Here is a 23,432-nt window from a genome sequence, read left to right on the forward strand (position 1 = left end):
ATTGAGCATCATTTTGGCAATCCCATGTACTTAAACATGTCAAATAATCCTGTTTACCTCTGTTTTCTGGACACTTCAGGGGCCCTCTGAAGTATTCAAAAGCCAGGTGTCAGGGAAGACAATTTTGAAACTGAAGTTTGATTTGAAAAAGGCTGTTAAATGTTCAAGGTTTAAAACACTTGACATTATGAAATAGAATTCCAGATTACCGTAAGTTATTTATTTTGCCAAAATGATGACTCAGAAACTTCAAAGAAGCAAAAACCTTGTACAACCCTCTAAAAATTTTGCCAAAGAGCAGATTAGCACCTTAGGAGAACATTGTTATGCTTTTATTTCAATGCTCAATTTGCGGAAAAAACACATAATACCCTTTTTTGAATTGAGTCAATATGTTCACAGAGAGAACCTCTTCTGCAAGATTAATTTCCACAATTCTTCCACCACTTCATTGAACCTTCAGCTTTTTTCTAATTTAACTCAAAACAATCCTTTAACCCTAGGCAAAAGTTTACATTTCCATGCCTTCTTATAACCTTGTACTAAAAAATACATTTTACTGTTCTTACACACCTTGAATGTAAATCTATTTCTAGTAGTTTCAATTAACTCATATCAATTTTTAACTTTAAGGTGAAACAGCAAACCTTGCACCTGACCTGCATTTTACCAATGGTCTTTAGGGTTGCTTTTACTTCTTAAAGATTAAAGTCATGTGGACTGAAAGGTACCACAACATTAAACTTCCCTTTAAAAAATGTTAGATCCAAGTGTTTGTCTTTCTTTAGGCCAAATTAATCAGAGCTCTTTTTACAGACATCACACACAGTACATACATAGACAGGCAGAAGCAAATCCAGTCACTGGGTGGGGCCCTTTAAGAGGCAGGGGTAGGAAAACATGCAGATATCAAACCAGAAAGAAGCTTATTCCCTAAGGTAAGATTGCTAAACAAAGCCTGCCACCAGACTTACAAGCCATGCCCTCAGGATGTAAAACCAGATGGAGGCTTGATTTCACAAATAAAACTTTGCAGAAAATATTAACAGTAATAGTTGGGGAAGCCTGGCCTAGTAAAACATCTTCTAAAAGAAAAAAAAATAACTTTAAAAGTTAACTTGCTGATGAGGTAGAGAATGGGAAAGAAAAGAAACAGTTGAAAATTGTTTGGGGAAGAACCTCTTATTCTAATGCAAGTGGTTCCTCCACCAGGGAGAAAAGTTTAATTACTGTAATTACTGTCCAATGGAGCTGAATCTCTTGGCTGGGGAAGGGGAAGGCTGCACTGGTACCTGGCTGGGACCCAGCCAGCTGGCTGTGCAGGACCCTTGGACCATGCGTCCCAGGCCCAGCAGGGAGCGGGGAGCGGTGGGGACCTGCTGCTCACTGGTTCCTCCCAAAAAAGGAAGAAAAAGGCCATGAGAATGAAAAGGCTCAGAAGCGAGAGGGAAAAAGAATTTTTGGTTTGCATCTCACTCACCGCTTTTCAAGCTCCCACATTGCACGCCAAAAATGTTGCAGGACTTTTCCTTAGTTCAGTTAAAGATGGAGTCCTTGTCTGTCCCATGGCCATGAAAATTTAGTCTCGCAGGTGGTTTGAATGGTGAGTAAAGCAGCATTTAATTGAGTGAAAAGGGAAAAAAAAAGGGGGAAATAGGGACTTCCGCAAGACTCTTCGAGGACTCCCTCCCACCTGGCTCAGTGAGACATAGCATCTTATTTGATCTTAACAACGAATAAAGTATTAATGAGTTAGAAAAGTTAACTTGTAGGAGATTATAGTAATAAGAAGTATAGCAGAAACTTATTGCAATTAACTGTATCTGACTCAAAAAATCCTGCTATTTCCATTATGTCACAATGTTTCACCGCATACTTAAATATGGCCTCACCTACAGTTTACCAAAATCAATTTTCATTGTTTTCTTGTCCATCTCTACATAAATAAGAGTAGTTTAAAATTATATGTTACTTAACTGTTTTATAAAGCTTATTCACATATTTTAATTTGCACCACTCAATAGTTCTGTGAAATTGGCAAAAATGTGACTATTTTCTCCTTTTTAAAGATTATTTGAAATTTATATTGGTTAACAAACTTCTGTAGAGTGAACAGCTACTAAAATGGCAGTGTCCAGACCTGAACCTAAAAGTTACGAGCCTGAACCTTTGAAACCTAAAATAGATCACACTGACTTAAACAATTATGTGTGTTTATTTGGATATTGTAGTGTTTTTTTAAAGCATACTAATTTATTAAATTATTTTTATTATGAGCTAAAGTACAGCTTAAGAAATGGTCAAAATGTAAATATCTATAATTTGTGATAACATTCAAATTACAGGTATGCCTCCCCAGAGAAAGAGACATTCCTCATGGAAGAGCCTAGATACAAGAAAGAATTAAGCAAAAAATAGTAAACACATATATAGATGCATATTCTGTTAAAACATTTACAATGTCTAGGAGTTTATATATAGAATTAAATGCAGAAAAACATCAGTATACAAATTGTGATGTGATAAAGTGTATTAAGCATCTTGCAATTGAAGTATTGATTGTCCTTATTTTTTAATCAACTTTATTGTGAAATGTAAAACAATATAGAAAATCCATAAAATATAAATGCATAGTTTAATAGAAAGTTGAAAAGTAAATACCTATGTAACCACGCCATTTTCCTACCATTCACAGCCTCTTGCCTCTCCCCTGTCAGAGTAAAGCTTACTCTGTCTATTACGGTCATCATTTTATTTTTGTTACTATAAAAATTTGGTAGTTCAACTTATGGTCAATATTTGTAAACATTTTATGTGTTAATAAAAAATGTATACTGTGCTGTTATCGGTTGAAATGATTTGTGTATACTTATGCACACACATACATATTACCATTAAGACGTGTTTGTTAATGGTGTTCAGATCTGCTATACCCTGGTTGATTTTATTTTGTGTGTAATTATTACCAAAAGAAGAGCATGCTAAAGTCTCCCACAGTGACTGTGGGGTTTATCCATTTCTCATTATAATTTTACATATATTGCCTCTGTGTGTGTGTGTGTGTGTGTGTGTGTGTGTGTGTGTGTGTGGATTTTGAGACTACGCTATTGTTTTATCTACCTCATGAAATGAATCATCTTTATGAACTGGCTACTGTAATGGTTTTTTTACTTAGCAGATCTATATTATGTCTGCTTCATAGGCATATATAAATGACTATTTTTCTTTCTTTTTTTCTTCCATTATGGTCACCACCCAGATGACATTACTGCATGTATTATGGATGAATTTTGTTCTGTTTTTCTCTAACACTAAGGTTGTATCCCTTTTTGATTCTAGATTCACCTCTTCAGGTATTCTGGGTCCTCACTTCTATATCCTTCCTTCCTTCTTTCCATAATGACTAGTTGTCAAAAGAATTTAATCCCCTAAATAAAAGAAATACAAAGTCTCTCATGGTTGTTGGTGGTAGGAGCTAGGTGAGAAGAGTTGCTCTGTTTTCTATTAAGCTTCCCAGATTCTCACTTTGTAGTACAACCTTGACCTGTAGTTTTCCCATATATTTTCTGCTCTTTGATGCTTTTAATGTTTTATTAGTTGTATCCAATATAAAGTTGCTTTTTATTGGAAGGGTTTATCTAAATAATGTTACTTGAGTTAAGCAGAGCTTCTGGAACTTAAGAAACTGAACAACAAGTTTGAAATAATCCATGATGATAAAGAAGCTAATTGTCTCTACCTTTATGAATACAGCTAATTGGAAGAACATAAAGAACTGGAAAAGGAAATAAAGAGAAGTGTTGATGTAGGTTCAGAAGAAACGGATGCTCCTAGGTAGAGCCAAAGAATTCCCAATATATGAAGAGAAAGAATCACAGACATAACTTATTCCCCACTTTCCATGTGGACCTCTAAGAGTGCAACATGCCAATATCGGCAGCCTTAGAGTAGAAATAATGCAGGTGTAATTGCAAAGATATTCTAGGGCTTTTCTAAGTCTCTTGCATCACTAAATTTCTTTTTTAAAAAATTCAATATGTAATAATAAAGAGGAACAGGAAAGTAAAGCCCAAAATATCACATGTACCCTATACATATATCCAATTATTACGTTCCTAATATCCTAAATATCCTGATTTGATCATTACACACTGTATGTATGCATCAAAATATCACATATACCCCATACATATATATAGGAAATATACCCTATATACAATCATATTCATCATCTCAACCATTTATTCTCTGTGTTGAGAACATTTTAAATCTTCTCATAGATATTTTAAAATATGTAAGATATGACTGTTAACTGTAATCACCCTACTGTGCTGTCAAACATTAGAACTTTATGTTTGTATTCATTAATCATATTTATTTGTAAAACAATTGGCTCTTAGAAAAAGGCAGGTTTTGAACATCTGGAGATGTCTAGTGTCCCTGGAAAGAATGTGGAGGTAGTCTGAGGAGGGCACAATAAATTTGAAGGGACTCAATGTTTTAGATGAGGAGGATGGCATATGTCCCTGGTAGATCTGACATCAAAGGTCAGGACAGCCAGCAGACATAAACAGATGGAATTGATGAAAAAGTCAGAGGTATCTCATAGTGGGCAGAAAATGCTATAAACCAAACACAAAACCTAATGTGACATTTTAAAACACCACACCATCCACAGCATTTGTAGCCAAGAGGAAAACAGATGAAGATGAAAATTTAGAATTTTCTCCCTAAATAATAATGAGAAAAATCCAGAAATTGCTGCTTTTACCATTAAGTTTCCAGTTTATGTTTTCTTTGTTCTGCAAATAGGAAAATAGATAGCAAAGTTTGATACTTTAATTGATAGCTTAAGCTACATCTTTGAACACAAAATTTTATGACTGTGAAATTTATTGTACCCTAAATGGGAGCTGATCTTATATTCCAAAGAATTTTAATTCCCTTTCAAAAATTTATTGTTGAAGTGTGAGTCACACAACATAAGGTTAACCATTTTAAAGTGAGCAATTTAGTGCAATGTGATACATTCAAAATTTTGTGCAACTACCACCTGAATCTAATTCCAAAATATTTTAATCACACCCCAAAAAATCCTGTAGCCACTCAGCATTTGCTTACAATTCTTTTCTCCCCACTGCTTCTAGTAACTACCAGTCTCTTTTCAGTGTATTTATTTAGTTTGTATGTTTCATATAAACTGAATCATACAAAGTGTGAACTTTTCTGTCTGGCTTATTTCACTTAGCATAATGTTTTGAGGTTCATCCACATTGTAGCACGCATCAATACCTCATTTTTTAAAAGATAAATAATATTTTATTGTATGTACAAATGTTTCTTCATCTGTTTGGACATCTCTGGCATTTTGCTATTGTGTATAGTGCTGGTACAGACATGTAAGTACATATATTTATTTAAATACATTTTTTATTTATCTTGGGTAAATACTTCAGAGTGGAATTTTTGGAACACACTGGAATTCTATGTTTAACTTTTTGAAGAACTGCCAAACTGTTTTCCACAGTAGCTGAACCACTTTACATTTCCACCAGCAATACACAAGAATTCCACTTTCTTCACATACATGCCAACACTTATTTTCTGTTTTGTTGAGTATAGCCATCATAGTGGGCATGAAGTGGTATCTCATTGTGGTTTAATTTGCATTTACCTAAAGACTAATTATGCTGATGTTGAACATCTTTTCATGTACTTGTTGGCTACTTGTGTACTTTCTTTGAATGCATATCTACTAAAATTTTTGCCTATTTTAAAATTGGGTTGTTTGATTTTTTGTTATTGAGATGTAAGGTTTCTTACATATTCTGAATCCTAGACTTATCAGATATAAAGTTTGCAAATACTCTCTACCACTATGTAGGTTGTCTTTTCAGTTTCTTGATGATGTTCTTGATGCATAAACATTTTAAATTTTGATACAGTCCAATTTATGTACGTTTTATGTTGCTACTTATGCTTCTATGTTTACTCATGTAGTTATCTTCCCTGGAGTGTTTATTTCTTCTTGTAGTTTCAAGTTATTGTCTATTGTCCTTTCACTTCATCCTGAAGGTCTTCCTTTAACACTTATTGTAAGGATAGATCTATTAGCAAGAAATTCTCTTAAATTTTAATTATCTAGGAATGTTTAATTTTTTTTATCTTTGAAGGATAGTTTTGCTGGAGATAGAATTATTGGTTGACGTATTTTTTTTTTCTTTCAAAACTTTACATATGTCATCCCACTCTCTTCTGGCCTTCACAATTTCCTGTGAGAAAATGATTGATAATCTTACTGAGATTATCTTGTACAGAACTAGTCGTTTCTCTCTGGCTGTTTTCAAGACTCTCCTTGTCTCTGGCTTTTGAGAATGTGTTTATAATGTGTGTCATTGTAGATCTCTTTGGTTTTTTCCTACTTGAGGTACATTGAATGTGTAGATACATATAGTTTAACAAATTTAAGATGTTCAGGTCATAATTCATTTAAGCATTATTTCTATCCTTTTTTGTTTCTCTTCTCCTTGTGAGACTTCCCTATTATGTATATTGGTATGCCTGGACCATTCAATTTTCTTCTTTTATTCTTTTTGTTCCTAAAATAATTTTAATCACCCTGTCTTCAAAATCACTGATTCTTTCTTCTGCCTGATTAAATATGCTATTGAATCTCTCTAGTAATTTTTTTTTCATTTCATATATTTGTACTTTTCAGTTCCGGGATTTTGATCTAGTTCCTTTTTATAATTTCTACCTCTTTGTTCATATTCTCATTTTGTTCAGACATTGTGTGTTTTTTTCTTTTGGTACACTTTAGTTATTCACAAATGGTTTACTTCACTGAACATATTTAAGACTGTTGATTTAAAGTTGTTGTCTAGAAAGTCAAGTAGCTAGGCTTTCCCAGGAACAGTTTCTGTCAATTTATTTTATTCCTGTGAATGGGCCATACTTTTCTGGGTTTATTTGTGTGCCTTTTAATTTTTGTTGCAAACTGGCATATAGAATATTACGATGTGATAACTCTGGATATACTATCTTTCCCTTTCTCCTGGGTTTGCTGTTGTTGATTCTTGAGGGCTGTTGTCTTTTTCTTTAGTGATTTTTCAAATTGTATTTGTAAAGCCTCTCTTCCATGTTATGTGTGGTCATTGATGTTTCTGTTTGATATCTCAATGGGCAGTGGTTACCTGACAGTGATTTCCTTAAATGCCTGAAGCCGATGATAAAAATAACACTCTCCTAGTTTTTGCAGCTTAGCTCTGAGCTGATGCCCTTCTTAGTTGTTACTCAAAGTTGCCTAAAAATCTACCTTAGCACTCATATCCTGCTTATTTGAAGCACAAATCTGGCAGAGGTGAAAGCCTACATCCTTTTAGGTCATTAATAAGCATGTATTTGATCCTGAGCATGCATGTTCACAGTGGCCTTTCAGAAACTTTATTTCCCCAGTACGTTTCCTTCTTAGCCTCCACCTTCATAGATTATTTGGTCTGCCTGCTACTTGCCCACACTGCCATCACTTGCCTCAGAAGGTATAAATTATATCTTTACATATTTTGATAACTGCCATCACTGTCCAAAAACTGCTTCATTCCAATAGAGGGATGCAAAACAAAGGTCAGCCTCACTGCTAGTCTATCAGGGAACCACCAAAAAAGGTCAACATGTATATTCATGATGTGAATGTGTTATTTTAAAGTCCATATCAGGCCCTTGGCACCAGCAAAATGCACCAAGAATGCAGGGAGGTATCTACTGGGCTACTGACCTACTGAAAAATGGAAGATGGTAAGGAGATGATCAAAAGTGCTACAACACTGTCTTATCAAATTTCAACTCTCCTTTTATTCATATAGCAATTCTGTGTTATTTAAAATTTTGGATTAGATTTTTCAGAGTTATGGAGAATTTGATTCTATCACTCCTTTTCAGCTTGTTGTTTCAGTGGAGGAAACAAATATTTTGTACCTTACTCTGCCGTTTTCCATGATGTTAACTGAAAGAATTTTGGTGAGGCACATACCTGGCTCAAGGACAAATACCAATCTTGGATGGGAAGTGAAGTCATCAACTTGAGTCCAAGCCACATATCTTATGAGAGAAATTAGATTGACTCCCAGAATTCGTTACTGATTTGCAAACATTGGATTTTAATGAGATTGAGTGTATTACAGAACACATTACATCCACTGGACTGTTAGCAGAAGAAAAACACCAATGGAAAGCTACGAAAAAAGTTATCATAAAAGCCTCTATGTGGATTCTTAATTTCTCTTGTAAGTATTTAACTTCTTCTGGAAAAAAAAGAAAAGTGAGTTCCAAATCAGGTTTAAAGGTATTATCTGAAAACCTGTGCTTTCTGGAAAAAAAGCAGAACTCCATATCTACACTAAAAAGTTAAGTTTCTAGGGGCTGGTAAAGCATAGACATGACAACTAAAGCTATCATGATACCACAAGCATTCTACTTTCTGTTTTCTTTTCAAAAATATGTAATAAACTATACTCATTAAAAATATGGCCAAAATCAACCTTGAGCAAAAATAATAAAGCCAGGGTCATCAGACTACCTGGTTTAAAAATCTACTACAAAGCTATAGTAATCAATACAGCTTGGAGCTACTGGCATAAAAACTGACACAATTGGAAGAGAATAGTGAGCCCAGAAATATATTCAAATATTTATAGTCAATGGATTTTAGCAAAAATGCCAACAACACACAATAGTGAAATGACAGTCTCTTCAATAGATGGTGCTGTGAAAACTAGATATTTACAAGCAGAAAAATGAAATAAGAACTTCATCTCACACCATATATCAAAAAAATTCAAAATAAATACTTAAATATAATCCATGAAATTTCAAAACTACTAGACAGAAACATAGGGACGAACTCTATGGCATTGGTCTAGGCAAAGATTTTTTTCATATGACCCGAAAAGCAAAGGCTAGAAAAGAAAAAGTATACAAGTGAGATTACATTACACTTTTAAAAGCTTCTTCAAAGCCAACAATCAACAAAGTGAAGACACAACCTACTAAATGGGAAAAAATATTTTCAAACCATCATCTGATAAGTAGTTAATATCTAAAATATGTGAGGAACTCAAATAATAGTAAGAGAACAATGTGATTTTATAAAATGAGACATTTATCACAAGAATACATAAAAATGGACAACAGGTATATGAAGAAAGTACTCAGCATCACTAATTATCAGAGAAATGCAAATTAAAACCACAACAGGATGGCTATTGAAAATGGCTATTATCGAAAAGACAATAGATAACAAGTGTTGGCAAGGATGTGGAGAAAAGGGAACCATAGTACACTGTTATATGAATATATGAATATGAATATGAAATATGAAAAGGGAACCATAATACACTGTTATATGAATATAAATTAGTACAGCCATTATGTAAAACTGTATGTAGGTACCTCAAAAAATAATCAAATAATCCCCTTCCTGGGCATATATCCAAAGATAAAAAATCAGTATGTCAAGGAGATATCTGTACACCCATGTTTATTACAGTGCTATTCACAATGGCAACGATATGGAATAATACTAAATATCCATCAATAGATGAATAAAGAAAATGTTATATATATTACATATATTATATATATATATATATATATGTATTAGTCTGTTCTCATGGTGCTATGAAGAACTACCTGAGACTTGGTAATTTATAAAGGAAAGAGGTTTAATTGACTCACAGTTCCACATGGCTTGTGAGGCCTCAGGAAACTTACAATCATGATGGAAGGCACCTGTTCACAGTGGGGCAGGAGAGAGAATGAGTGAATGCTGAGTGAAGGGAGAAGCCCCTTATGAAACCATCAGATCTCATGAGAACTCACTCACTATCACGAGAACAGCATGGAAGGCAACCACCCCCATGATTCAATTATCTCACACCAGGTTCCTTCCACAACATGTGGGGATTATGGGATTACAATTCAAGATGAGATTTCAGTGGGAACACAAAACTAAACCATATTCATTCCACCCATGGCCCCTCTGAAATCTCATGTCCTCACAATTCAAAACACAATCATGCCCTTCCAACAGTTCCCCAAAGTCTTAACACATTCCAGCATTAACTCAAAAGTCCAAGTCCAAAGTCTCATCCAAGACAAGGCAAGTCTCTTCCACCTATGGGCCAGTAAAATCAAACACAAGTTAGTTCCTTCCAAGATACAATGAGGATACAGGCATTGGGTAAATACACCCATTTCAAGTGGGAGAAATTGGCCAAAACAAAGCAGCTACAGGCCCCGCGCAAGTCCAAAATTCAGCAGGGCAGCCAAATCTTAAAGCTCCAAAATGAGCTCCTTTGACTTCATATCTCACATCTGGGTTAGGCTGCTACAATAGGTGGGCACCCATGGCTTTGTGCAGCTCCACCCCTGCGGCTTTGCAGGATATAGCCCCACTCCTGGCTGCTTCTACAGGTTGGTGTTGAGAGTCTCCGGCTTTCCCAGGTGCACAGTGGAAGCTGTCAATGGATCTACCATTCCGGGGTCTGCGGGACAGTGGTCCTCTTGTCACAGTTCCACGAGGCAATGCCCCAGTGAGGACTGTGTCAGGACTCCAACCCCACATTTCTCTTCCACACTGCTCTAGAAAAGGTTCTCCATGAGGGCCCTGACCCTGCAGCAAACTTCTGCCTCAAAATCCAGGCATTCCCATACATCCTCTGTAATCTAGGCAGAGTTTCCATATCTCAGTTCTTGACTTCTGTGTATCTGCAGGCTCAACACCACATGGAAGCTGCCAAGGCATGGGGCTTGTACTCTCTGGAGCCACGGCCTGAGTTGTACCTCGGCCCCTTTTAGCCATGGCTAGAGCCCAAGTCCCTAGGCTGCACACAGCAGAGAGGCCCAGGGCCCAGCACACAAAACCATATTTTCCTCCTAGGTTTTCAGGCCTGTGATGGGAGAGGCTGACATGAAAGTCTCTGACACGTCCCGGAGACATTTTTCCCTTTGTCTTTCAGATTTGCATCTGGATCCGGCTTGAATTTCACCCCAGAAAATGGGTTTTTTGTTTTCTATCACGTTGTCAGTCTGCAAATTTTCCAATCTTTTATGCTCTGCTTCCTCTTGGATGATTTGCTGCTTAGAAATTTCTTCTTCCAGATACCCTAAATCATCTCTCTCAAGTTAAAATTTCCACTGATCTCTAGGGCACGGGCGAAATGCTGCCAGTCTCTTTGCTAAAGCATAGCAAGAGTCACCTTTACTCCAGTTCCCAAGAAGTTTCTCATCTCCATCTGAGACCACCTCAGCCTGGACTTCATTATCCATATCACTATCAGCATTTTAGTCAAACCCATTCAACAAGTCTCTAGGAAGTTCCAAACCTTTCCACATCTTCCTGTCTTCTGAGCCCTCCAAGTTTCTAAGAAGTTCCAAACTTTCCCACATTTTCCGGTCTTCTTCTGAACCCTTCAAACTGCTCCAACCTCTCCCTGTTGCCCAGTTCCAAAGTTGCTTCTAAATTTTCAGGTAACTTTATAGCAGCACCCCACTCTCTGCAGTACCAGTTTACTCTATTAGTCTGTTCTCACACTGCTAAGAAGAAATACCTGAGAGTGGGTAATTAATAAAGGAAAGAGTTTTAATTGACTCACAGTTCCACATGGCTTCAAAGGCCTCAAAAAACTTACAGTTATGGCAGAAGGCACCTCTTCACAGTGTGGCAGGAGAATGAGTGAATGCTGAGCGAAGGGGGAAGCCTCTTATGAAACCATCAGATCTCATGAGAACTCACTCACTGTGATGAGAACAGCATGGGGTCAAACCACCCCCTTGATTCAATTACCTCCCAACAGGCCCCTCCCTTGACACATGGGGATTATGGGAATACAATTCAAGATGAGATTTGGGTGGGGACAGAAAACTGAACCATATCAACATACAAAATGGAATACTATTCAGCTTTAGAAGAGAAGTCCTGTCATTTGCAACTGACAGCAACAATATCAATGAACCTGGAGGACATTGTGTTAAGTAAAATAAACCAGACCAAAGAAAAAGTCCAATACCAAATTATCTCATATACAGAATATAAAAAGAGTATAAAAAGCAAAAGTCATAGAAACAGAGAGTGAAATAGTGATTGATTACCAAAGGCTAGGGGGAGGAGAGAGAATTGGGGAGTTGTTGGCAAAAGGACACAAAATTTCAGTTAGGAGGAATAAGTTTAGGAGATTTATTGCACATAATGGTGACTACAGTTACTAACAATATATTGTATATTTGAAAATTGCTAAAATAGTAGAATTTGAGTGTTCTCACCACAAAAACTAAGTATGTGAGGAAATGCATAATTTAAATGGCTTGATTTAGCCATTTTACACTGTGTACATATATCAAAACATGTTATAAACCATAAATATATATAAAATTTACTTATGAATTTAAGTAAATATATATCCTCCAAAAAAGAAACAAAGAAAACAAATTTACAAGAAAAAACAAACACCATTATCCCCAGTAACACCATTAACTCTTAGGAACAAACACCATTTAACGCTATTAAAAAGTGGGCAAAGGAAATGAACAGACACTTTTCAAAAGAAGACACATGGCTGGGCGTGGTGGCTCATGCCTGTAATCCCAGCACTTTGGGAGCCTGAGGCAGGCGGATCACCTGAGGTCGGGAGTTCGAGACCAGCCTGACCAATATGGAGAAACCCCGTCTCTACTAAAAATACAAAATTAGCCAGGCATGGTGACACATGCCTGTAATCCCAACTACTTGGGAGGCTGAGGCAGGAAAATCACTTGAACCTGGGAGGCGGAGGTTGCAGTGAGCCGAGATCACGCCATTGCACTTCAGCCTGGGCAACAAGAGCAAAACTCCGTCTCAAAAATAAAAATAAAAAATAAAAGAAGACATAAGTGAAGCCTACAATCTCGTGAAAAAAAGCTCAACATCACTGTTCAATAGAGAAATGCAAATCAAAACCACAACGAGATACCATCTCATACCAGTCAGAATGGCTATTATTAAAAAGTCAAAAAATAACAGATGCTGGCAAGGTTGTGGAGAAGAAGGAACGCTTTGTTAGTGGGAGTGTAAATTAGTTCAACCATTTTGGAAGACAGTGTGGCAATTCCTCAAAGACAGAAAGAATTACCATTCAACCCAACAATCTCTTTATTGAGTACATATGCAAAGGAATATAAATAATTCTATTGTAAAGACACATGCATGCATATGTTCATTGCAGCACGATTCACAGTAGCAAAGACATGGAATCAACCTAAATACTTATCAATGACAGACTGGATAAAGAAATTGTGGTACATATATACCATGGAATACTATGCAGCCATAGAAAATAATGAGATCAAGTCCTTTGCAGGAACATGTTTGGAGCTAGAGTCTGTTACCCTTAGCAAACTCATGCAGGAACAGAAAGCCAAATACCACATGTTCTCACTTATAATTGGGGGTTAAATGATGAGAACACATGGATACAGGGTGGGGAGCTACACACATCGGGGACTACCAGAGGGTGGAGTGTGGGAGGGGGAAGAAGATCAGGAAAAATAACTAATGCATACTAGGCTTAATACCCAGGTGATGAAATAATCTATACAACAAACCCTCATGACACACTTTTACCTATGTTACAAACCTGCACATCCTGCACATGTACCTATGAACTTAAAACAAAAGTTAAAAAATAAAAAATAAAGAAATAAAACATTAGCATTAATATGGAAGGTTAGGCAAGCTTGAAAGTTTTTTGAGTTCAAAGGGACGTCACAAGTAGAGTCACTTCACCACTGAGAGAGCCTGTGAATTGTTCTTACCTGTGTTTTCTCAGAGCCAGAAAATTAATGGCAAGAGACTGGACTATGACTCTTTACACAGGAGCACAGTCATACATTTGTTTTGGAATTAGACCATTTTACTTGTATTTACCAAGCAAAGGACATTCTATGCTGTATCCTCAAGGTCATTTAAAACTGAACACTACCTATTCCATGACTAATCTTTCTTTTTTGGGATGAAAGATGGAACCATTGCTAGAAGGTGGTGGAGTTTCCTTGGGTAAGCAACTGTCAACTCCTAATGATAGGATTTGAGAACCTGCCTTTCCAATGGAAGAAGTGAAAATTTCACTCAGGATCCACTACAAGATGACAAAGGGTAGAGGTGTTATAATATCTATAATATGTTTAAAATACTTCTAAGTACATATGCAATATATACAATATATATAATTCTATATATGATATTAATTGTGCATTACTTAAAAGATTTAGTTCAAGCTAACTTAGGTTCAAATTATATCATACTTAAGAACTATGCACAGTCTAGGCATGGTCAGCTGGTGCTCCAATGAGTAGACTACATTCAAGGGGCAGCTACTTAAATTGCCTCTGTTTGTTGTATCTCGATCAACCACCTAGACTTTGCTAACTAACATATTAAATGTCACAAATGAATTTTATTTATGTAATAGTAGCATGTTGACTAGAATAATGACTATTATTAATAGACTCATGGGGGAAATGAAAAGTGATTAAGATTTATGGACTGGTTGAATTTAGTGTAGGAGATTTGCTTACCCCTGCACAAAGAGGCCAATAGACTTTTTCATTTAAAATGGAGCTCAATGCTTGATCTCTATATAGTTATGTGCCCCACTACTAATTTAAGAATATGATTCTTAAAGTTGTCCTCACATTAGAAGTACTTGAAATGCTTTTAGAAACTACTATTGTCAAAGACACACCTCAGCACAATTAAATCAGAATTCTTTGGAAGGATTCCAGGTGTCACTGGTTTTTAAACTTCTTTGGTGATTGCAATGTGTAACCAAGAACCACTAATCTGAGAGGACGTGTGGTCTTAACTATGATAAGGATTGCAGATTCCGGCCTTTGCAATGGTTTTGGGTCTGTCTAGAGTGACCTTTTCATGAAAGGAGATAGTTGGCTCACCTAATCAGACTGAAAGCTGGACTTCATGGAACACACAGAATGGGTTGTATAAACCATTCTTTGCCTGCTTGATAATCAGTTTTTGATGTATCTGTCTACACATGTAGTAGCATTTAAGACTGAATTTACCCTGACAGAGAAGTTTTTTGAGGAAGCAACAACGCTTAGTCATCTCCAACTTTAGAGCAGCATAGTCTATCAAAAATAAACTAAGGATTACACAAGACCAAATTGGCCTGTTACATATCATTGGTTGCTGGGGAGCATTATCTGTTGCCCCTTTAACCATGGGCTGTTTTGCATAAGATAGTCAATATTTTGGAGTACTAAATCCTCGACAGAAACTTAATTACCATATTTATTAAGAGTAGAGACATTCAATAATAAGTAATTTGTCTTTGATCAGCAAAGCAAAATTGTCCTAAATAGAGAAATATTTACTTTGTAGTAACCCACCACAAAAGAGAAAGTATGCCCCTTATTATCTTTGTAACTAAATTTAGCACTTGAATTTAGATCTTGAGCTTTTATTTGAACTTAGTGGTCAAAAATTTAATCTTTGAAATTGAAGGTAAATTTAGTAAATTCTGGTTTGAACTTCTACTTCTTTAAGTCAAGACTTTCTTAGTGAAGGAATTCCCCCATTCTCCCTTTCTTTCTATTTGCCCTAGAGGTTTTTTATGGTTCAGGGAGATTTATAAATAACCTAGTACTTGGGAATATATGTAATTTATGCATAACTTAACAATGAAACAAACAAAAACTGGTTTTGGCTGAGATGTATAATCTTATTTGATCTTTTTTGATATCTATCCACTGCCTCTGTGACTCAATGTCCATATGCCCATTATTCTGTGGTGCCCAGTTTATTGTGGATCAATGTGTCTTCATTTTCCTAGAATTCTGAGATGTCTCCAAGTCTCCCATCCAGTTTTAGCCATTTCTATATCTTTCTGAAGGGTGTAGGCCACTTTAGGATGCTCCCACAACTATCACATTGAGGTACATGCACTCACAATTTATTACTATAAAATTCAGGTGACAAAATGGCCTTGTGACTTCTCCAGGGGTCTTTCACTAACTCTTCTTTCAGTTTGGGTTCCACTAAATTATTTCTGGATTTTTTATCGTACAACAAGCTGTAGGATAGGCCTGGGACATTTCATCCACAACTTAACTTCCTTGATTATCTTTGTTCATTATTTTGCTTTCCCTAAAACAAATACATGGGTTCTTTGTCAGGACAGGGTCAGAAACCTTTTGAGTTGGGTGCAGATGGCACACAATCAAAGTGTGCCTCTTTCAAGGCTGATTTTATTGGAATGCTAGGCTTTCACAATCTTTGCGTGTTCTATGAGCTTTAAAAAAATCTACCCAGAAACTCACTTGAGTTCTTTATTCTTAGGTGAATTAGCCCTTCCTTGACTCAAGTAATAACCACTGACCCAATGGGTAGAGGGCCCCAGATTTTGTTTTTAATGATGGAAAGAAAAACCTTGGTTATTATCAAAATATTATCTTTTGCTACACTTGTAGCAAAAACTTGTGGCTAATTGAATGGCTGGACTTGGAATAACATAAGCTATTAGCTTATGTTTAAAGTACTTTGTTGTGAGAAAACTGAGGCTTTGACATGTTAAATTACTTGACTGAGAACCCATTGCTAATTAATAGCAACTCTGGGAACAAAAACAAAAACACAGTATTTTTGTACTTCTGGAACCTCAAGAACTTAGACATGAGAAATGAAAAGTCACTAGCTCAATATCAATGATTCACAAACATGGCTGTGTGTTAGAATCAACCACAGAGCTACTGAAAAATATAATGACGCTCCCACAGAAAGTATGCAGATTCAGCAGGGTAAGGTGTGGTCCATGCCTCTATATTTAACAATAATGTCCACACATAATTTCTATGCTTTATAAAATAAACAAAGCTGAAAAGCATGTGTAATACACATGCAATCTACCTCAAATGTTACTATCCTTGGTCGTCTTTTCATCAGCTCTTTGCTGGTTTCCTGAACATGGATGGTAGCCAAGGGAGGCATTAGCTCTGATATATGCACAGTTTGCGGCAATGATTTTAACACTTTGTGTTCTTCAAAATCCTCTAGGATACTTGTTTTTTTTTTTTTCAAACCTGTTAGGAGGACTTTCATCAAAAATTAAAGAACAAGTGTTGGCAAGGATGTGGAGAAAAGGGAACATCCGTACATTGTCAGTGGGAAGGCAAATTGATGCAGCAACTATGGAAGACAGTAAGGAGGTTCCTCAAACAAAAAAATTAAAGATAGGACTATTATACAATCCAGCAATCCCACTCCTGGATAGAAATCAAGTGCTCAACATCATTAATAAGTTATTGGAAACTGTGACCTCTAGAAAACTGAGGTATAATTAAATAGGATACTTCTTAAAAATGTAATTACAATGTGCCATTTTGAAGTTGCATGGAGTGCCTTATAGACATTTGAGAATGGATAATTAACAAATGGTTGTATACTAGAATTTGATCTAAGGCTTACTTTTATTATGATGTGGAAGTAAGGATTGGGACCCTACTTAACCTTTACTCACTTCAAACCTTTTGGCTTTTTTCATGTATCTACCAAGAAAAAGTTAATAGGTGAGTATGACCAAGTTAATATGGATCATAAGGCTTATTTATCCAGCATTTGCCTCCAATAGTTGAACTTCTCTTTTTTGGAGGCTGAAAACCATCTATCTCCTGGCTTTGGACCATAACCTGGCAGTGAGTAGGAAGTCAGTATACTTGTCTACTGGGGGATTTTCCATGATGACCTGTAAAAACATTTCCCAAAATATTTTTGAGTTTGTTCCTGGAAGTACAAACTGTCTTCCAAACTTGCAAAATGAGCTGTGATGTTTGCTCAGTGGAGATTTTTTAAATCACTGAATTTTCTGATTGATAAATGTCTGTTTGGAGAACAGAGAATGTCTGCCAACCACAATCTGCCTCTCAATAATTCTCAGAGAACACAGACGGCAGGAAAGTTTGGACCTCAAAAGCTCTGGAAACCCAGGGGTTTCTGTTGAGTTTAATTACTTTGCAGGTAAGACAGAGGACAGATGTATAATACCACTTCCAGCAACAGAGTGAACTTCAGTATCAGCTCAAACCATTACTTCTTGGCTCCTTGTATAAATCCCCTTGAATACAGAGACAGGAGGCCAAAAATCTGTGTGGTGAGTGTACTTCCAGACAAGGCAGGTGAGAACCCTTAGGAGAAATGCCCCTATCAGGACAATTATTAGGGCAGCCTCATTACCAATGAATTGACATCAGTGGGAGGAAAACCTGAGAGAGGAGGAAGAATAATAATGATATAAATAAAACGGAGGAAGCACTGGAAACTAAAACTGCAAAATTAAAGGTGATCCTGGAAGGAAACTAAGGAAATCCTATTTCAGCTAAGAACAACGATTTGCTTTATTCTCTGCTCCAGATCCAAAGAAGCTTAAAAATATTAGAAAAGTTAGACACATAAGAAGTGACACCTACAAAGCACCAAAATAAACAAAACAATAAGCCTTTTTAATGAAGGAAAACAGCTTCCACTTTGTGACGGGGCTGATGTCTCCAATACTGAGTTTATTCATTGGGATAGAGGCACTGATTGCAGAAAGTTTCTACTGAATGTCAAAAGCCTGTAAGGGGTAACCCTACAAGTCGACATCAACCATAGAAGAGACCCCCAACTCTTTCAGAGCTGAGACCTCAAATTACTGGAGGAGGAATTGACTCAAATCCTGAATCACAGGGAAAATAAAGGTCTTAAATGGGAATTAGCATAACTTATCATTTCCAGCACACCTATCTGACTACCATTTCTTCAAAACGTAATAGGACAGTAGTTCTCAAAGTGTGATCCTTGGAATAGCAGCAGCAACATCAACTGGAAACTTGTTAGATACAAGCAGTTTCAGGCTCCATCCTAGACCTACTTATTCAGAAACTCTGGGTAGAGGCCCAGAAATCTGTATCTCTGTGTGTACAGTGTGTGTGTGTGTGTGTGTGTGTGGACATATATATGTCAAAAATAAAGACCCAACACTGGCATGTTTCTAATTTAAAAATTAATTTGGATTTTACTAGTTTTTTTTTAACTAATGAACTGTTTTTCTGTTCCATCATCCAACACAGGATACCACATTACATTTGGTCTTCATGTCTCCTTGGTCTCCTCTGAATTGTGATAGCTTCTTAGACTTTCCTTGTTTTTTTAACCTTCACACTTTTGAGTCAATTATTTTGTAGTCTGTCCTTCAATTTTTATTCTTCTGATGTTTTACTCATGATTATATTGTGTTATAGGTGTTTGAAATGAATACCACAGAGATGAAATTCCATTCTAACGATATTATATTAGTATGTACATGCTATCAGTATGACTTATCACTGGTTATTTCAACCTTGATCATCTAACTAAATAAGTGTTTGCCAGGTATCTTCACTGTGAATTTACTTGATTTCTCACTGTTATCCTTTTCTTTGGAACCAAGTCACTAAGTCCAGCCCACTCTCTTGGGGAGTGGGAAGAATTTAGTTCCACCACCTGGGAGGTCTATGTATAAAATATTTGAAATTCTTCTGGAAGGAATATTTATCACCCACATTTTATTTATTTACTTACTGACTCATTCAATCAATCATTTTTTATATCTGAATAGACTCAGGTATACTTATTTTACACTGGAGATTTTCTATTTATCTAGAAATTTTTTTTGAGTTGACTTGGGTGTCAGAGGTATGAGGTACATTTCAAGGTATGTTTTTTGTTTTTTTGAACAATTTAATTTTTGACTATATATTATATATATTTAAGGTGTACAATTTGATGTTTTAATATATATTATGAAATGATCACTATATTAGGGCTAATTAACATATTTATCACTTCTACATAGTTAACATTTTTTAATCCTTTGACTAATGTCATCCCATTTCCCTCTTCCCCCAGCTCATAGCAACCACCATTTTACTTTCTGCATCTGAGTTTGACTACTTTAGATTCCAATATACATGATATCATGTAGCATTTCTCTTTCTGTATCTTTCTTATTTCACTTAGTGTAATGTCCTCCAGGTTCATTCATGTTTTCATAAATGGCAGGATTTTTGCTTTTGTTGTCTGTGCTGGTGTTATATCCAGAAAATTATTGCCAAGACCAATGTCAATGAAGTCTTTCCCAATATTTTCTTCTGGGGGTTTTATACATCTTGTTTTATGTTTAAGTCTTTAATCCATATTGAGTTGATTTTTGCGTATGGTGAAACAAATGTCTAATTTTATATTTTTCCCATATGGATATTCAGTTTTCCCAACACCTTTTGTTGAAGAGACTGTCTCTTTCCTTATGGTATATTCTTGGCATCCTATAGAAGGTCAATCGACAAATATGTGGGGGTTCTCTATTCTATTTTGTCTATATATCTGTTTTTATGCCACTATCATAATTTTTATTACCATAGCCTTGTAATATAATTTGAAGTTAGGAAGTGTCAGGCCTCCAGCTTGGTTCTTGCTCAAGATTGCCTTGGCTATTGGGGTCTTTTGTTGCTCCCTATGAATTTTAGAATTGTTTCTTTTCTATTTCTGTAAATAATCTCCTTGGGATTTTATTTTTAGAGACAAGGTCTTGCTAATTTTCCCAGGCTAAACTCAAACTCCTGGGCTCAAGTAGCTGGAATTACAGATGCACAAATGTTTTAGGCTATCATTGGGATTTTGATAGGGATTGCATTGATTTTTAGATCACCTTAGGCAATATGGATATTTTGTTAATATTTCTAATGTATGAACATAGATATCTTTCTACGATTTGTGTCTCTTGAAACTTGCTTCAGCAATGTTGTGTCATTTTCAGTGTACAAGTCTTCCACCTCTTTGGTGAATTCTCAAGTAGTATTTTTTTGTGGGGGATTTTTTTTTCTCAACTTCCATTTAAAAAAAATTTTTTTAAGAGATGGTGGTCATGCTATGTTGCCCATTCTAGTCTTGAACTCCTGGGCTCAAGTAATCCTCCCGCCTCGGCCTTCCAAAATGCTAGGACTATAGGCGTGAACCATCACACCAGGCCCTCAATTTCCATTTTAAATAGTTTATTATCAGTGTATGGAAACACCACTGATGCTTGTATTTTGATTTAGTATCCTGCAACTTTATTGAATTTATTAGGTCTAACAATTTTTTTTTTTTGGTGGTGTCTTTAGTATTTTCTATGCATCTGCTCATGTCATCTGCAAACAGAACTAATTTTACTGATTTGGATTTTTTTTTAATTTCTTTTTCCTGCCTAATTCCTCTGCCTAGGACTTCTAGTATTTATTATGTTTGAAGATCAGTAGTGAGAGTGAGCATTTATTTCTTGTTCCAGATTTTAGCAAAAAAGGTTTCAGTTTTTCCCTATTGATTATGATGCTATATGTGGGTTTTTCTTATATGACCTTTACTGTTTTTATGTAAGTTTCTTTTATACTTATTTTGTTGAGAGGTTCTTTTTTTAATGAATGTAAAATTTGCCTGGTGCTTTGTATGCATCTATTAAGATGTTCATGTGGTTTTCATTCTGTTAATATGGTGTGTCACATTGATTTGCTTTTATTTGTTAAACCATCCCTTTATCCCAGGAATAAATTTCACTTGATCATTGTGTATTATCCTTTTAATGTGCTGTTGAATTTAGTTTGCTAGGAGTTTTTTAGGGATTTTCACATCTATGTTTATCACGGATATTGGCTTGTAGTTTTCTTTTCTTTTGTTGTATTTGCCTGGCTTAGGAACTAAGGTGATGCTACATTATAAAATGAGTTTCAAAGTGCTCCCTCTCTTATTTTTGGAAAAGTTTAAGAAAGAGTGGTATTACTTTTTCTTTCAATGGTAAAATTTACTTGTGCAGTAAATTTACTTGTGATTCTGTCTCCTTGCTTTTTACTGCTCTCTTCTTGTTTTCTATTTCTCCTTAATTCAGTCTCATTAGGCTTAATTTCATTTTTTTTACACATGGACATTAATTATTACTGCATCATTTGCTGAAAATGTCTATCTTTCTCCATTGGACTGCCTTCGTGCCTTTGTGAAAATCAGTTGACTGTATTTGTTTAGGTCTATTTCTAAGTTCTCTATTCTATTTACCTATGTATCTATTATTTAACCAATACTACACTATCTTGATTACTGTAGCTTTATGCTAACTCTTGAATCTGGATAATGTGAGTCATCCAACTTTGTTCTCTCATTTTTCAGATTTTTTTTATTTTAGCACCTTCATCATGCCACATTCATTTTAGAATAAGCTTGTCAATATCCATAAACATTCAGCTTTTCAAATTCTATAAACAATATAGAGTGTTGTTTGAAATAACATTGATTCTGAAACTAGGGAAAATTGACATTTTTACATCAGTGAATCTTGCAATGCATGAACAAGGGTATATTTCTCTATGTGTTTAGAATTTCTTTGATTTCTTTCATCAGTGTTTTGTAGTTTTCTACATAAAAATCCTGAATATAATTTACTAGACTTATATTGAAGTACTTCATTTTATCATACAATTGTGAATGGTATAATTAGATTTAATTTAAATTTCAGTGTTATTTGCTGGGTTATACAAATACAATTTATTTTATATTAACCTTACATGATTTATAGTGACCTTGCATCAAGTGACCTTGCCAAAGTCACTTGTCAGTTCTTAGAGTTTTGCTGTAGACTCTTTGGGATTTTGACATTCACATTATCTGAAAATAAGGACAGTTTTATTTCTTTCTTTCCAATCTAGATCTCATTTATTTTATTTTTCTTGCCCTATTATTCTAGGTAGTACTTCCAATAAAATGTTGAATAGCGAGGGTCAGAAAAGAAAGTTTTGCCTTATATCTGATCTTAGTGTGAAAGCATTCAGTCTACTCTCTGGGGTATTGTTAGCTCTAGGTTTTACTTCATTTTATAATTTTGTATCTCCTATTAGGTTAAGGAAGCTCCCTTATATAACTCGTTCTTGAGGATTTTTACCATGAATGGATATGGCATATTGTCAAATAATTTTCTGCATCTGTTGATATGATTATACGGGTTTTATATTTAATGGGCTAATATGCTGAAATAAATTAATTAATTTTTGTATGTTAAAATGTTCTTGAATATCTGTGATGAACCCCACATGGTATTATCATTTCATATGTTACTGGATTTAATTTGCAGATATTTTATTCTGATTCTTGCATCTATGTTAGAGATATTGGTAGGTAGTTGGTGCTTTTAATGTATTTTTATGCTTTTGGTCTCAGGATACTACTGGCCTTGTAAAATGAATTGCGAAGTATTATCTTCCCTCTTATTTTCTGAAATAGATTGTATAGAAATGGTATAGTTTATTTTTTAAACTGTTGGTAATAATATTACAGTAAAACCATTTGAGAC

This window comes from Homo sapiens, chromosome X, assembly GCF_000001405.40.
Source record: "Homo sapiens chromosome X, GRCh38.p14 Primary Assembly".
Classification (NCBI taxonomy): Eukaryota; Metazoa; Chordata; class Mammalia; order Primates; family Hominidae; genus Homo; species Homo sapiens.